The sequence below is a fragment of the Homo sapiens genome, chromosome 6, assembly GCF_000001405.40.
Source record: "Homo sapiens chromosome 6, GRCh38.p14 Primary Assembly".
Classification (NCBI taxonomy): domain Eukaryota; kingdom Metazoa; phylum Chordata; class Mammalia; order Primates; family Hominidae; genus Homo; species Homo sapiens.
The window spans coordinates 2169865-2186557 of NC_000006.12; the positions used below are offsets into that span (position 1 = coordinate 2169865).

The 16693-nt window shown below is 39.3% G+C and overlaps 1 protein-coding gene across 11 annotated transcripts in view; it reads right to left on the minus strand.

The window, feature by feature from the left end:
* GMDS (GDP-mannose 4,6-dehydratase) overlaps nucleotides 1-16693 on the minus strand; it is a 621800-nt gene that overhangs the window by 546059 nt on the left and 59048 nt on the right. Inside the window, exon 1 of one of the 11 annotated variants that reach the window (NM_001253846.2) lies at nucleotides 6068-6127. The exons of the other annotated variants lie outside the window; for them this stretch is intronic. Within the exon in view, the coding sequence (NP_001240775.1) occupies nucleotides 6068-6079 (12 nt within the window). The 5' untranslated portion in view covers nucleotides 6080-6127. Of the gene's footprint in view, nucleotides 1-6067; nucleotides 6128-16693 lie in introns of those variants that run through there. 11 annotated transcript variants of the gene reach the window in all.

Consider the following 16693-nt stretch of genomic DNA (forward strand, 5'->3'; position numbering starts at 1 on the left):
AAGGGTGCTGGGCTGATTCAGAAGGTGCTATCTGGTGGTATATTAGAAAAGAGGACTGGCTGGGCGCGGTGGCTCACGCCTGTAATCCCAGCACTTTGGGAGGCCAAGGTGGGCCGATCACCTGAGGTCGGGAGTTCACGACCAGCCTGACCAACATAAAGAAACCCCATCTCTATTAAAAATACAAAATCAGCCAGGCGTGGTGGCAGATGCCTGTAATCCCAGCTACTCGGGAGCCTGAGGCAGGAGAATCGCTTGAACCCGGGAGGTGGAGGTTGTGGTGAGCCAAGATCGTGCCATTGCACTCCAGCCTGGGCAACAACAACGAAACTACATCTCAAAAAAAAAAAAAGAGAGAAAGAAAGAAAACAGGATTCGACTTTCTCCATGCAATTTTAAGAGAATGTTATTACTTACAGATTGGTTTAAATCCATTATCCTTGTTACCATATGTTCTAAACTAAATAGAAGCACAATTAGGCCAGGTGTACTAGCTCATACCTATAATCTAAACATTTTGGAAGGCCAAGACAGGAGGATATCTTGAGGCCAGGAGTTCGAGACCAGCCTGAGCAACACAGCAAGACCCTACCTCTACAGAAAAAAATAAAAATTAGATGGGCATAGTGGTGCACACCTATAGTCCTAGCTACTCAGGAGGCTGACGTGGGAGGATCACTTGAGCCCAGGAGTTCAAGGTTGCAGTGGGCTATGACTGCACCACTGCATTCCAGCCTGGGTGACAGAGTGTGACCCTGCCTTAAAAAAAAATAAAAAAAAAAAAGGCATAATTACATTACAGACTAACCCATTTGGTTACCTTTTTTAGAAGTTAAAACTCTAAAAACAGGCCAGGCGCGGTGGTTCACGCCTGTAATCCCAGCACTTTGGGAGGCCGAGGCGGGTGGATCACGAGGTCAGGAGATCGAGACCATCCTGACTAACACGGTGAAACCCCATCTCTACTAAAAATACAAAAAATTAGCCAGGTGCAGTGGCGGGCGCCTGTAGTCCCAGCTACTCGGGAGGCTGAGGCAGGAGAATGGCATGAACCCAGGAGGCAGAGCTTGTGGTGAGCCGAGATTGCACCACTGCACTCCAGCCTGGGCAAAAGAGTGAGACTCCGTCTCCAAAAGAAAAAAAAAATACTCTAAAAACAAGTATGTATCAGACTGAAAAAAATTACTACCTTTAAATATCTGTCAATCCAAATCATAGTACCAAAAATTGCAAATACACATTGGTAAATGAATTCAGGAACTCATGAACTTGAATTCAGGAGTCTGTGCTTCTTAATCTTAAGAGTAAAGCTTATGGCATTGTCACACAACTTTCAGTGGTCTGAGGAGCTTAATAAAATGGAGTGATGAGTCTGTACACATATTCAAAAGATTAAAAGAATAACAACAAAAAAGGAAGACAGGACAGAGACAGAATGTAAGTAATTTGTTTAACATTTTCTTGGCCCATTCGGTCTGCTATAACAAAATACCATAAACTAGGTGCCTAGTTCTCTTCTTTCTCACAGATTTGGAGCCTAGGAAGTCCAAGATCAACTACCCGAACAGACAAGCAAATGGCAAAAATAAATAAATAAATGGCAGATGTGTTGATGATTAGATGCAATTAACTGAGTGGAGAAAAATTAAAATCCAGAAAACAAACACAGAATAAAGTCTGTCTAATTTACCTATGTATCTCTAGGAAGCAGTCAGTAAATATATTAGGATTTAATAAAGAGAAAATAAAACTAACAAAATTGTGCTTGCTGCAGGTGGGTGGATAGCACAGGGAACAAAAAATGAGATCATCATCCTAAGGACTCAGAAATACATAGTGTGAAACTATTTACCACAGAAGCCAGAAGAAAGCATCAGGAAAGTCTTCAATATCCACATTAAAATGCACAAAGACTTCCATGAAAAAGGTGCAAAGAGCCACAATGAAAGAAAGAAGTTAAGGTAAAAAGATAATAGGATAATGTAAGGAGATGAACAAAATAAGGAAGGAAACTAAAATGTCAACAGAACTTAAATGCATACAGAGAGCAGTGAGGGGCTAAACTGACGCAATAAATGGCAGAGAAACAACTCACGTGGCCGGCTAATCTGAGAGGCTTTCCCAGACTGTAGAATTAAAAAAAGATACCTTCCAAACACTACGGAAGACATCAAAGACAGCATGTGTAACAAAAAGCAGACCTCCCAACCCCCACGAAAAGCAAGAATACATTTAAAACAAAAAATAAGAAGGCACAAGTAGAACTGAACTTATCTTTTATGATGATCATCATAAATGAATTGACCTCCCCAATATTAAAGACAAAGTCTCTCAGATTGAGGAGAAAAAATGAGATACTACCTCTCAAAACAACCAGATATGTTGTATCTCAAGAAGATAAAAATAAAAGGAGAGAGTGACAATATGAACACAAGACAAAATAGAATTCAAGGCAAAAGTATTAAGTGGAACAATAATTAAGACACAAAAAGCATGAATTTCTGTTTGAACTACCATTACACTGAAAGATTAAAAAGAATTGATATGGCCGGGCGCAGTGGCTCACGCCTGCAATCCCAGCACTTTGGGAGGCCGAGGCAGGTGGATCACGAGGTCAGGAGTTCAAAACCAGCCTTGCCAAGATAGTGAAACCCCATCTCTACTAAAAATACCAAAAAATTAGCCAGGCATGGTGGTGGGCACCTATAATCCCAGCTACTCGGGAGACTGAGGCAGAGAATTGCTTGAACCCGGGAGGCGGAGGTTGCAGTGAGCCGAGATCGCGCCACTGCACTCCAGCCTGGGCGACACAGTGAGGCTCCATCTCCAAAAAAAAAACAGAATTGATATGACAAAATGCAAAAAGTATTAGAATTGCATGGAAAACTGGTGCCCCAAAACCTACTCACATTAGAAGAGCACACACCTCAGTCTGACCTACTGTGTAGGAAAAACTTAACAAAGCATGGAGGACTGGAATTATACAATTGATAACATTAGTGGATATCAGGCTTTGTACTGACATTTTAAAAATATATCTTCCTTCTACAGCATTCATGAAACATTTGTAAAAACTAATATTAACATATTAGGCCACAAAGAAAATTTGAAAATTTCAAAAAGTTCCAAACAAACATAAACTGTACACAATGCCGTGTTCTCAGTTTCCAAAGAAATAAAATTACTAATTTTAAAATGACACAAATATTAGAAATTTTTAAATACTAGTCTAATTAATGGATTAAAAAAGAAATCTGCACTTCTAGGTTATTTTAAAAACAACATACTACTGCTTATCAACACTTAGGAAATATAATCAGATACAGTCTGAAGAAAATTGAGTCTTAAGCCTTTCATTATTAAAAATAGAAAAATCTTCCTGCCTACTTGCTGATACCTAGTTTATCCAAAAAGAGCAGGAGGGTAGAAATGTTTTCATCTACAGTAAGAAATTAAAGGAGTTAAAGTACAAATCCATAGTTTAAGACAACATACTTCAGAATGAACCAGTTTTAGGCCACCTGCACCCAGCCGATGATTTGATAACTTTAACTAATACCAGATGCTTCCATGTTTTTACAGGGCATGGAGGGAAGGAGGGCAGCAAGGCAGAGAAAGTCACGGATTTAGAAGGGTTCAAAAGTAGAGACTGGGGGCACAGAAGACAGTTTAATATGTATCCATTTTTCTTTGTATAATTAATTCTGAGTGGGCATAAATTGAAGTTATACAGAGAAGTAGTGAAAACAGGAAGTTCTATTCTACATCAATGATACAGGAAAAAATAATTCCCTGATTGCTTATAAAGGCTGTGGTTGCTTGTAGTTCTGATAATCAAGAGTCAAGGAAAATACCCAGGCTTCTGAATTACTGCAGTGGTAGCTTTTATAAGTGCAATAAGCCCATATTCAGAGATTATAAAATAGATGGTTTCCACACCCACTGAGTCTTACGCTAGCATTTCATAAGATTGGTTTTAGGAATATCTACCATTCCTCAAGCATCTGAGTAACATTTCTTCTCATCCTAAGGAACAGAAAGGGCAGGTTAGCATCGCCAATTTACTTAGAAGCAAACTGAGGTCCAGAATGGGTCCAAAGGCCATATAACTAGAAAGGTCCAAGTGAGGATTCCAACCCTCGATCCCAATACATTATAATTATTGAGTAAAACCATGAGACTGAGGACCAAGATATAGATGAATTACAGGCTACGAACAGTAACTAATCATGTGACCTTGGGCGGTCTCACTCATTCAATAAATATGTATTAAGCATCTTCTGTGTGCAAGGTTCTGTGCTTAGATGCTGGAGGCTCAGAGTTCCTGAATTTCAAAAAATATAATCAAATACACAATCTACTTCAAAAGGCTGAGGGGATGGATGATAAAATGCTTACAAAAGTACTTTTTAAAAAGGATAAGAGAATGTTTGAATACCATTCTTTCCTGCTAAGATATCTTCAGGTCTCGCATAGAAAAGTTTAGAACTCCATGCTTAAATTCACCCATTTCATCTTTTTTAATGGGTGAATTTCATCTTTTTTAAACTATGCTTGCAGAGTATCTAAATCAAGGATAAAGACCATGCTAAATTTTTTAAAACTTTATTTTTTCATCTTAAGTATTGTTGAGACAATCAAAGAATAGCCACAAACAGGAATAGAATTTAATGGTGCCTAGTTTTTTTTGTTTTGTTTTGTTTTGTTTTGTTTTTTAAATTGAGACGGAGTCTTGCTCTGTCACCTGGGCTGGAGTGTGGTGGTGCGATCTCGGCTCACTACAACCTCCACCTCCTGGGTTCAAGTGATTCTCCTGCCTCAGGATCCCGAGTAGCTAGGACTGCAGGCACGTGCCACCATGCCAGGCTAACTTTTTGTATTTTTAGTAGAGACGGGATTGCACCATGTTGGCCAGGCTGATCTCGAACTCCTGACCTCAAGTGATCTGCCCATCTTGGCCTCCCAAAGTGCTAGCATTATAGGCATGATCCACCATGCCTGGCCGAATGGTGCCTAGTTTCTAAAGGCTCAACCACAAATATGAAATATAGGAAACAGGATAAGACATGCACCTGGGAAGGCAGAAGCCTTCAGGACTTGGGGCCAGGTCTACAGCCACTGTGGGGCATCAGGGCTCTCTAGGCAGGCCACACAGACCACACCAGAGGAACTATCTCATCATCTGAAGGGGAAGGGGGGTGAGGGTAGCTATTTGAAACACAGTGCAAAGTAATAATTTTAAAGATCTCTTGAGAAGTCTTATGGTTGGATGATTTGGGGATCTATGAAATAATCACATTTTTGCTTCTTGAAAAAGGAGATGTTTTATTTATTAATGTAAGTTAACTTACAATATATTAACTCAAAAAGAGAACAGCACATGTTATGCAATATAACAACAGTAAATTGAAAAATTGAAGGTGGATAAAAATATTATTAACCTTTAAAAGTCTCAGCAATTTAAGCAGTCTAAAGAATAACAAAAATATGGTTCCTGTCACTGTTGAGCTCAAAGAGGAAATTCTTTTCCAAGAAGACATATGCCACCTCGGACTTGAGGTAGAAAAGTTACTATGTAAAAACTGTTAAGCAAAAGAGACATCAGACCCACTACTCTGCAGATATTCCTGAGGGAGTTGTGTCGACAGAAAAAAGAGAGCAGCATTACTATACCTCAGCTTGGGAAGAACCAAGAAGCAGAGGTTGTATCATTTCACTCAATGAATTGCCCCTCTCCAATTTAACTTTCCAGTCATGCTCACACTGTCATTACCCAAGCCTCACAGAACAGAGCTCCTGAGAAATGAGCATGCTTTGGTTTTAATACACGTACAAAGGCAGATACACTGCCCCTCTCATGTTACCATAAATAAAATATCCAATAACAATTTCTATTAACAATAAGAGTAATTATTATTTTTATAGCTAACATTTATATAGCCCTTAAAACATGTTGTAAGCACCTTATGCATGAACCCACGTAAGTTCATGAACCCACATAAACAGCCCTATCAGGCTTGTGGCACTATGATTAGCCCCATTTTATAAGGTAATACTATTTTCTCACCATTTTACACATGAGGAACCAGAGGCAATGGTAACGCTCCCAACAAACTGCCTGTGTACAAAACTGGATCACACAAAAGTGCCTCAGAGCACAGATGCTTTACTGTCAAGAGGCTGAAGACAGCAGATGTGACTACAGCTAAATGCACACTGACAACATGTAATTCTGGTGTCCAGCCCCCCTTCTACAACCAGGGATGACTGCCTCCCCACATCAGTTACTTTTGCTGATTGACAAATAGTACCAAAACAGGACAGATTCTGATTCACTATATTTATTAATTATATATTAGCAATTTTCTAAACAAATGGTTTAGAAAAACCCATTTTTCTTAAAAAAAATTTTTTTTTCTTAATATTTTATCTCACTGTGGAAAGAATTCCAAGCACTTAAGACAATGCAGCAATGGTTAAAAACAGACTTTGATGTCAGAAATTTGGTTCTTCCCAGCTGCATTACTTCAGCTAAGTTGTTTCACATGTTTGTGAAGTGAGCAGTGTTTCATGAAGTCGAGCAAAGATTAAAGCATGAAGTTCCTAACCCAGTGTCTGGTAAACCAACTTAACTTGGAGGAAATTCGGGGTTGGGTGGGAATAAACCAGGAAGGAAGCAGAGCAAAGCTCATAGAAACCACCTACTGGCTTAACTTAGGCAAGGTGTAGAGACAACCTGATCTGCTGGTTGGGGTAGGAGGGGAGGGCATGTGAAGAGTGCAAGGAAGCAAGAAAGGTGGGAAAGAATAGCCATATGGAGAGATCCTTCATCTCACACTCCCTCTCAGAAACTCTCCCCAGACAATCCTGGGGAGTAAAGTGGGAATTGGCCCAGAAGTAATTGCTTCCTTCCCTGCAGAAGACACCTTTCAGTGCTAGGGCAGTCCTGCACACAGGTTATAGTGCAGGGCCAAGGAGGGAGAAGGGTCAGGTAAAAGGCCTGGCACTGAGGGGACACCTCGAAAAGATGTGGCCATCAAGGCAAGCAGGTTAGGAAAGCAACCTAAGCAGGCAGCAGTGACAAAGGAAGAGAGCTCTTTTAGGAAAGGGATGGTCTCAGAAAATTTGTAGGCAGATGGGGAAGAGAGAAACAGGAAAGGGCAGGAAATAAATGGAGCTGGATCCAGTAAGAAAAGTCTTTGGTACCAAGAACGCAGTTGGAACGCCAGCCTTGGTAAGCAGGAGGCATGTTTTCCTGTTCAGAGACTAAGAAGAAGGGGACCATTAAACCACAGAGAGATTATGAAGGGATGAAGGTACTTCACCTAAGGGCAGACTTAATCTCAATGAAGTGGGAAAAAGATTTTGTTAAAGCAGATGGGTCTGCAGTACGTATAATCTGGAGAGATCAGGAAAGTAGACTGGGTTTGGGGTAGTAACTATGAAGACAAAAACAACTAGACAATCAGATGAATAAAAACATAGCTGGCCGTCATCCTGATATCAAAATTTGGCAGAAAAACAACGAAAAAATAAAACTTCAGGCCAATATCCCTGATAAACAGACATAAAATCCTCAACAAAATACTGGCAAACTGAATCTAGCAGCACATCAAAAAGTTTATTCACCACGATCAAGTAGGCTTTATTTCTGAAATGCCAGATTGGTTCAACATACACAAATCAATATATATGATTCACCACATAAAGAGAATTAAAAACAAAAACCACATGATCATCTCAATAGACACAGAAAAAGTTTTCGATAAAATCCAACATCCTTTCGTGATAAAAACCCTCAAAACACTAGGCATCAAAGGAACGTGCCTAAAAATAATAAGAACCATGTATGATCAGATGACAGCCCACATCATACTCAACAGGCAAAAGCTGGAAGCATTCCCCTTCAGAACTGGAACAAGACAGTCCCAAAAGAAAATAAATCATCCTACCAAAAAGACATGCATACTTGAATATTCACCGCAGCATTATTCACAATAGTAAAGACATAGAATCAACGCAGGTGCTCATCAACAGTGGACTAGATAAAGAAAACGTGGTATCTATACACCATGGAATACTATTCAGCCATAAAAAAGAACAAAATTGTGTCCTTTGCAGCAACATGGATGCAGCTGAAGGCCATTATCCTAAGCAAACTAAAGCAGAAACAGAAAACCAAATCCCACATATTTTCACATATAAGTGGGAGATAAACATTGGGTATTCATGGACCTAAAGATGGGAACAATAGACACTGGGGACTACTGGCGGGAGGGAAGAAGGAGAGCAACAGCTGGAAAACTACTTATTGTGTACTGTATTAGTCCATTCTTGCACTGCTATAAAGAAATACCTGAGGCTAGGTAACTTATAAAGAAAAGATGTTTAATTGGCTCACGGTTCCACAGGCTATACAGGAAGCATGATGCTGGCATCTGCTTGGCTTCTGGGGAGGCCTCAGGAAGCTTACAATCATGGTGGAAGGAGGTGAAGGGGAAGGAGGCATGTCTGACATGGCCAAAGCAGGAGGAAGAGGAGAAAGGGAAGAGGTGCCACATGCTTTAAACAACCAGATCTCGTGGGCACTGTTTGAAGAGAACACCACCGGTAGGTGGTGCCATTCATGAAAGCCATTCATGAAAGATCCACCCCCATGATCCAATCACCTCCCAGTAGGCTCTACCTCCAACACCAGGGGTTCCAATCCAACATAAGATTTAGGCAGGGACACAAATCCAAACCATATCAGGCACTATGCTCACTACCTGAGTGACAGATTCATTCACGCTCCACACCTAAGCATCACACAATGTACCTTTGTAACACACCTGTGTATGTACTCCATGAATCTAAAATAAAAGTTTAAATCAAGAAACATAGCTGGCATTAAGTCAGGATTTAAAAGAATTTTCATATTTAATTCCCCTTTTTCAATGTCTTTGAACATCCACAGGCCCTGACTTTCCAGACTAACAATGATATTCTGATGCCAAAACATCCTTGGAAATATTCTTTGTTAAAAAATGGTGTATACCACAAACAAGTATAGACAAATGGAGATGTCATTATCAGAACAGAATAATTTGAAATCTCTCAATATTCTTCCATTGAATAACTTTGTGCAAAAGACAATTTCATTCTTCATGTGGCATAAACAGCGAATAAGAATGCTGCCTGTCCTCAAGAATACTATTATGAAATCCACGGGATGAGAAATAAATGCAAACCACCATAGTACATGCACATGAGCATCGTAAACACAGTAAAACGTTATAGTACAAATATTACAGAACAATCCAACTTAAATCTAAGATAACTCCTTTAGAGAAACAAGAGGTTGTTGGCTCTCTAATAAAACATTTCAAAATATCTTAAAACTTGATTTCAAGAAGTAACAGTATCAAGGTCCACAGAGAAGACAAAAAGGTTATGCCAAAAAAAAAATATTTTAGGGTTCTCCATTTTGAAATTATAATTACTGCCTGCTATAGCCTGAATATTGCCCCAAATCATGTGTTAAAACTTAATGCCCACTGTGGTAGTATTAAGAGGAAACACCTTTGGGGAAGTAATTAAGACATGAGTGTTCTGTCCTCACAAATAAATTATGCCCTTATAAAAGAGGCTTCAGAGAGAGTCATTCTCATTCTTTTGTTCTCCCACGTGAGAACATCCTCCAGAGGATGCCATGACTAGGCACCATCTTGGAAGTAGAGAGCAGCCCTCACCAGACACCAATCCTGTAGTGCCTTGATCAGACTTCTCAGCCTCCAGAATTTGAGAAATAAATTTCTATTATTTATAAATTACTCTGTAGTATTTTGTTACAGTAGCACAAACAGATTAAGATACTGCCAAAGTATGTAAAATCAGTAAAATCATCATTTAGAAATAGAAATGAAACTTAAGGTGATAAACCCATCTATCTATCTACCCATCTATCAGACATTTAGAAGAAGCCCTGAAGTTTCTTATACCAATGTGAGTCCATAAGATCATACAAATATCCTGAAACACTCATCTATCTCAAAACACCCATCGTTTAGAAATAGAAATGAAACTTAAGGTGATACACCCATCTATCTGATCACATTTAAAGATGAGAAAGATGCATTGTAACACCACAATTTCCTACCAGTGCCCATTACAAAGAACAGGTTAACTGCAGGTGGACTGACCAAGCAGTTCCTCTGGATCTGTGGTCTAAATGAAACCAAATGGGTACTTCAAGACTGCTCAGGAATGCAGGAGGAAAACAAAGCCAGAGGACTAGCAACTGGCTGGCTACCACCATAGGCATAGACACCAGAGGTTGTGCAATGTCAAAGGCATATTTCAAAATATCAAAGTACCTCTCTCAGGGAAATAAAAGATGAAGGATGTCAAGATCTCAACTTACAGAGCACAAACCAAACATAAAGCACCTAGATCTTTTTGAAAAGACTAATGCTACAGAGAAAGGTATATACCAGAACTAATCTGCTTTCTCAGCTGTCCTGACCAGGGGCTAGGTCCAGTGTGGTAATTCCAAGTTTGACAATAAATTTTGATCTTTTCATCTTTTGAATGTACTAAGAAAAAAATGGTTAGCAAACATAAAAATTGGAAAATAAAGTTCAAGACTTAGAATATGAAAAATTGAATTTTTCCCTTTTTCCTCTCACTGACTTAAGAAGAATTGTGATAAAGCTATATAGTAGCCCACAATATCTATCTATACTTGACTACTTGAGTAACTTGTTCCTCTGTGGAATTAGTTGAGACATAAATTATATATAAATAAATAAATAAATACAGAGCAAGATGTCACCTTGGAACAAATAATAGCTAATGTGAACAAATCCTCCCATTAATTCCAAAGAATTTTACAAAGAATTTCCAAAATATTTGATAAACAAGATTTCTTTCTCCAATGTTTTTAAACTGTTAGAACCAGCCAGAGGTCCAAGAAGCCTACTTCATTAGGTATTTCCTCTCCAAGTCATTTGTAACAAAAGTACATAAGACAGATGGATGAAGGCCAGGTGCGGTGGATCAAGCCTGTAATCCCAGCACTTTGGGAGGCTGAGGCGGGCAGATCATGAGGTCAGGAGATCGAGACCATCCTGGCTAAAACAGTGAAGCCCAGTCTCTACTAAAAATACAAAAAATTAGCCAGACGTAGTGACTACACCTGGGTGCCTGTAGTCCCAGCTACTCAGGCTGGCTGAGGCAGGAGAATGGCATGAACCCGGGTGGTGGAGCTTGCAGTGAGCCGAGATCACACCACTGCACTCCATCCTGGGTGACAGAGCGAGACTCCATCTCAAAAAAAAAAAAAAAAAAAAAGACAGATCGATGAAATTCCATGTTTAACAGAATTCATTAAAAAGGTACACAGCAGCAAGGAATATAACTAATACCTCTCAATTCCTAATTCCCACCTACCTCTCTCCTCAAAAAGTGTCTCTGCTCGACAGATGGCATCTGTATTCACCCAAATGATCAAAACACTTAGGATTCATTCTTAACTCCTCCCTTTACTCACAAAATCCAATCCATCGGCAAATCCTACCAATTCTATTTCAAATTACAGCCATATCTTGTTTTGCTGTGCTACGTTTTATTGCAATTCCCAGACACTGCTTTTTTTTAATAAACTGAAGGCTTGTGGCAATCCTGTGTCATACATTTTTCCAATAGCATGTGCTTGCTCCATGTCACTATTTTACACTTTGATAATTCTCACAGTATTTCAAACTTTTTCATTATTATTATGTCAGTTGTGGTGGTCTGTGATCAGTCATCTTTGTTACCACTGTAATTGTTTAGGGGAACCAGGACCACAAACCAAGCCCATACAAAATGGTAAATGTAATCGGAAAATGTCATGTGTGTTCTGACTGCTCCACCAACTGACTCTCCTCCCTCTTCCCTCTCCTCAGGCCTCCCCCTTCCTTAGAAAAACAACATTGAAATTAGACCAACTAATAACCCAGCAATGACCTCCATGTGTTCAAGTGAAAGGAACAGTCACACATCTCTCACTTTAAATAAAAAGCTAGAAATGATTAAGCTTAGGGAGAAAGACATGTCCAAAGTCAAGACCGGCTGAAAGGTAGCCTCTTGCACCAAACAGTTAGCTTAGCTGTGAATGCACATGAAAAGTTCTTGGAGAAAATTAAAAGTACTACTCCAGTGTACATACAAATGATAAGAAAGTGAAACAGCCTTACTGCTGATGTGGATAAAGTTCTAGTGATCTGAATGGAAGATCAAACTAGTAACAACAGTGCCTTAAGCCAAAGCCTAATCCAGAGCAAGGCTCTAACTCTCTTCAATTCTATTATATGATGGTTGAGAGAGGTGAGGAAATTGCAGAAGAAAAGCTGGAAGCTAGCACAGGTTGGTTCATGGGGCCAAAGTGAAAAAACTATCTCCATAACATGAAAGTGTAAGCTGAAGCAGCAAGTGCTGATAGAGAAGCTACAAGTCAGCCAGAATATCTAGCCAACATAATTAGTGAGGGTGGTTACACTAAACAACAGATTCTCAATGTAGACAAAACAGTCTTCTATTGGAAGAAGACGTCATCTGGGACTTTCATAGCTGCAGAGATGTCAATGCCTATCTTCACAGCTTCAACTGACAGGCTGACTCTCTTGTTTGGGACTAATCAGCTGACTTATGTGAGCCAGTGTTTATTTGCAATTCCAAAAATTATAAGGCCCTTAAGAATTTTGTTAAATCTATTATGTTTCTGTGCTATAAATGAAACAACAAAGCCTGGATGACAGCACATCTGTTTACAAATTGGTTTACTGAATATTTTAAGCACACTATTGAGACCTATTGCTCAAAAGATTTACTTGTCTTTGAGACAGAGTATCACTGTGTTGCCCAGGCCAGAGTACAGTGGTGCAATCTAAACTCACTGCATCCTCTACCTCGCGGGCTCAAGTCATCCTCCCACCTCAGCTTCCCGAGTAACTGGGACTATAGGGTATGCATCACCATGCCAGGCTAATTTTTGTATTTTTTTGTAGAGACAGGGTTTCGCCATGTTCCCCAGGTTGGTCTCAAGCTCCTGGGCTCAAACGATCTGCCTGCCTCAGCCTCCCAAAGTGCTGGGATTACAGGTGTGAGCCACCACGCCCAGACAAAAGATTATTTGCAAATCATTACTGTTCACTGACAATGTACCTAGTTACCCAAGAGCTCTGATGGAGATGTACAAGGAGGTTAATATGTTGTTTTCATGCCTGCTAACACAACATCCATTCTGCAGCCCATGGATCAAGGAGTAATTTCAACTTTCAGTCTTATTATTTAAGAAATGCATTTTTCTTAGGCTATACCTGCCACAGCAAGTGATTCATCTAATGGAATGAAAATCTTCTAGATAGGGATTCACCATTCTAGATTCATGATTCATGGAAAAGGGTCAAAATAGCAACATTAACATAAGTTTGGAACTTATTAACATAAGTTTGGAAGAAGTTGATTCCAATCCTCATGGATGACTTTGAGAGGGTCAAGACTGCCATGGAGGAAGAACCACAGAAGTGCAGCCTGAAGATAGGACTGAATTGCTGCAATATCATGATAAAACTTGAATGGCTGAGGAGTTGCTTCTTATAGATAAGCAAAGAAAGTAGTCTGTTGAGATCAAATCTACTCCTGGTGAAGATGCTATGAACATTGTTGAAATAGCAACAAAGAGTATTACATAAACTTAGTTGATAAATTTAGCAGCAGCAGGGTTTGAGAAGATTGATTCCCTTTTTTAAAGAAGTTCTACAGTGAGTAAAATGTTAGCAAACAGCTGAATGGCACAGAGAAATCTTTTGTGAAAGGAGGAGTCAACCAATGTGGCAAACTTTATTATTGTCTTATTGTAAGAAATTGCCACAGCCACCCCAACCTTCAGCAACCACCACCCTGATCAGTCAGCAGCCACTAAAAGGGAGGCAATACCCTCTACTAGCAAATAGATTACAACTCACTGAAGGTTCAGATGATCACTGGCATTCTTTAGCATAAGATATACTTTAGTTATGTACATTTTTTAGATATAATGCTACTGTACACTTAATAGACTACAGTACAGTGTCAACATAACATATATGCACAACATAACTTATATATGCATAAGTTATATATAACTTGTATATGCATAAGTTATATATAACTTACATATTCATGTGACTCATTTTATTGTCATATTCACTTTGGGATCACAGTGGTCTGGAACCAAATCTACAATATCTCAGAGGTATGCCTGTATCATACAGGCGGTCAACTTCTCTCCATTTTCTCTGCCCACACTTTTATCCAATCCTCCAACATCTCTCGCCTGACTACTGTAATAGCCTCTTAATAGGTATATTTTCTTTCACTATTGGCTCCCTAAAATCCATATGCAGCAAAAGTGATCTCAAACCACACGTGAGACACCACTTCCACTCAACAACTGGCACTAAGAATAAAACTAAAACTCATGACCAAGTCAATTAAGCCCCTAGAAGATCTGGCCCTTGCCTACCTTCCCCCCACCTCTCTTAACGATTCTCTTCCTCATTATACTCCTGGCCTCTTTCCATCCCTTGAACACACTAACTAGGCTTTTTGCTACTTTGAGGTCTTTGCACTTCTATTTGTTCTGCCTAGAAAGGTCCTCTCTGATGACTTTAGATTTCAGTTCAAATCTCAGCTCAGAGAGGCTGCCCGGACCTACATAGCTATCATTCCCTGTCACTCTCTAGCACGGTGCTTCCCAAACTATCTGTGATGAAGGACCCATTGTTTTTCATTGTCAATCTGTCATAAAACTTTTGTAAAAATTCAATAAAAAATTTTCTTTTAAAAATGTAACTTTAAAAACATATAAAATACAAGCCCAAAATTCTCATTATCAGCATTAACAGTCAAAAAATCTATCATATTACCATAAAAGTCTCTTGTTTTCTGTGTTTATACCATTGGGAACCATTGTAATCAGCACACAACTGTCAGCAGATAAGACTGTGACATTGCTCCAGTGTGCCACCAAGCTAATTCCTTTCACAATACTTGCCACACTCTAGAGTCGCTATTCATTTATGTGTTGATCTGTACCAGACACTGTTTTAGGCACTGGAATTGAAGCGATCAACAAAACAGACAAGATCCCTGCACTCACAGGGCTCACGTTCTATGGTGGAGGCCCAGGGAGGATAGGCTATTGGTCAAGCCGACAAGGCAAAGCCAGCTTTAAACTTAGATTTGACTCCACGGTTTTTCCTGAGTTCTGAAAAATCTTCAGCACTTAGCTAAGCAGTGAAGTATGCCAAATGCATCCTAATCAGGGAGGAAGAAATGAAAGCTGGGATACAATTACTGAACAAACTTAAGTTTTTTCAAAGTTGATATCAACAACAACATCCTCCTACAAAACATGCCTGTGGTCACCGCCAGCTGCAGCATATTGGCATGCATCTGATCCAATGTGGTACTTCTGACTCTCATGTACACCACCATTTCTTCCTCAAAACTACTGCACTTTACATTACGTATTCTTTGTATTGTACACCAACCAAATATTTTAATCAAAATAATTACTTCTAAATTGGTACACATTGAGATACCAACTCTGAGGATCCAACAATGTGGAAGAGTTAAACATCTTCAACGAGTGTCTGGAGCCAACAACAATAAATACAGTTACAGCCATTTTACTCATTTTCCACAGCTAAACTGCCCAGATGTGTACCAAGGCTGCCCTGTGTCATTCCACCCTGTGTGCAAGTTCCTTCACCCACATGTCTCAGATGAGCAGTTAAAAGAGCCACCCAAGATGTAATCAATGCCTAAATACTGCCACCCTAGGGCCAAGATAATGTTAAACCTAACAAATCCATAACCCAATTTCCTGAAGCCTCATCAGCTTGTGATTAAAATAAGGTCCCCATTCAGAACACATCAGCCTCGTCTATGTAGTAAGGCTGGGGCTGCACCCTGAGTTTCTAGAATATGCTCACATTCCTTCCACTGTCATTCAATCAACTCATTATCTCCCCCAAAACTCTGCAGATTGTTATTATTCCCATTTTACAAATGAGAAAACTGAGAACCACGCGTTTAGTAATAATTCTCAAAAAATAAGTTAACATATATTTATTAAATTCTTATATTAAATACAATGTTCTTACCAATGAGTCCCAAACTTGGCTAGGCTTCAAGTCACCCAAACTGTAGTGAACAGAGTTGCCAGGTGGTTCTAATGAAGCCAAACTGGCACTAGGAACCAATGAAATTTGCCATGTAAAAACCAAGTGTACAAACAGAAACATAAAGGGAATGTAGGAAAATGAAATCTACTCATTTCCACAGCCTATGCGGACCGCTGCAATGTTTTAATGTACAATGTTAATAGAATACTGTTTGTGTAGCAATTCAAAAATCACTTCAGATGTTTATGTTACTGTAATCAGGGGATATTTTTAAGTATCCCTTAAAATTAGCAAAAATACCAATTAATGAAATCTGGCATAAGTCTACCTACTCAACTTAGCTGATTCCCAAAATAAGGCAAAGGGCACTATTTAAAGATTTCCATTAATACACTTGAATATCTGAATCAACCTGGATGAAAGAGGAATCTATAACAAGCCCCTACAGTTACTTCTGCAGAAACAATGTGTTCGCTAGCCTTTCCATAATAAATTAAACA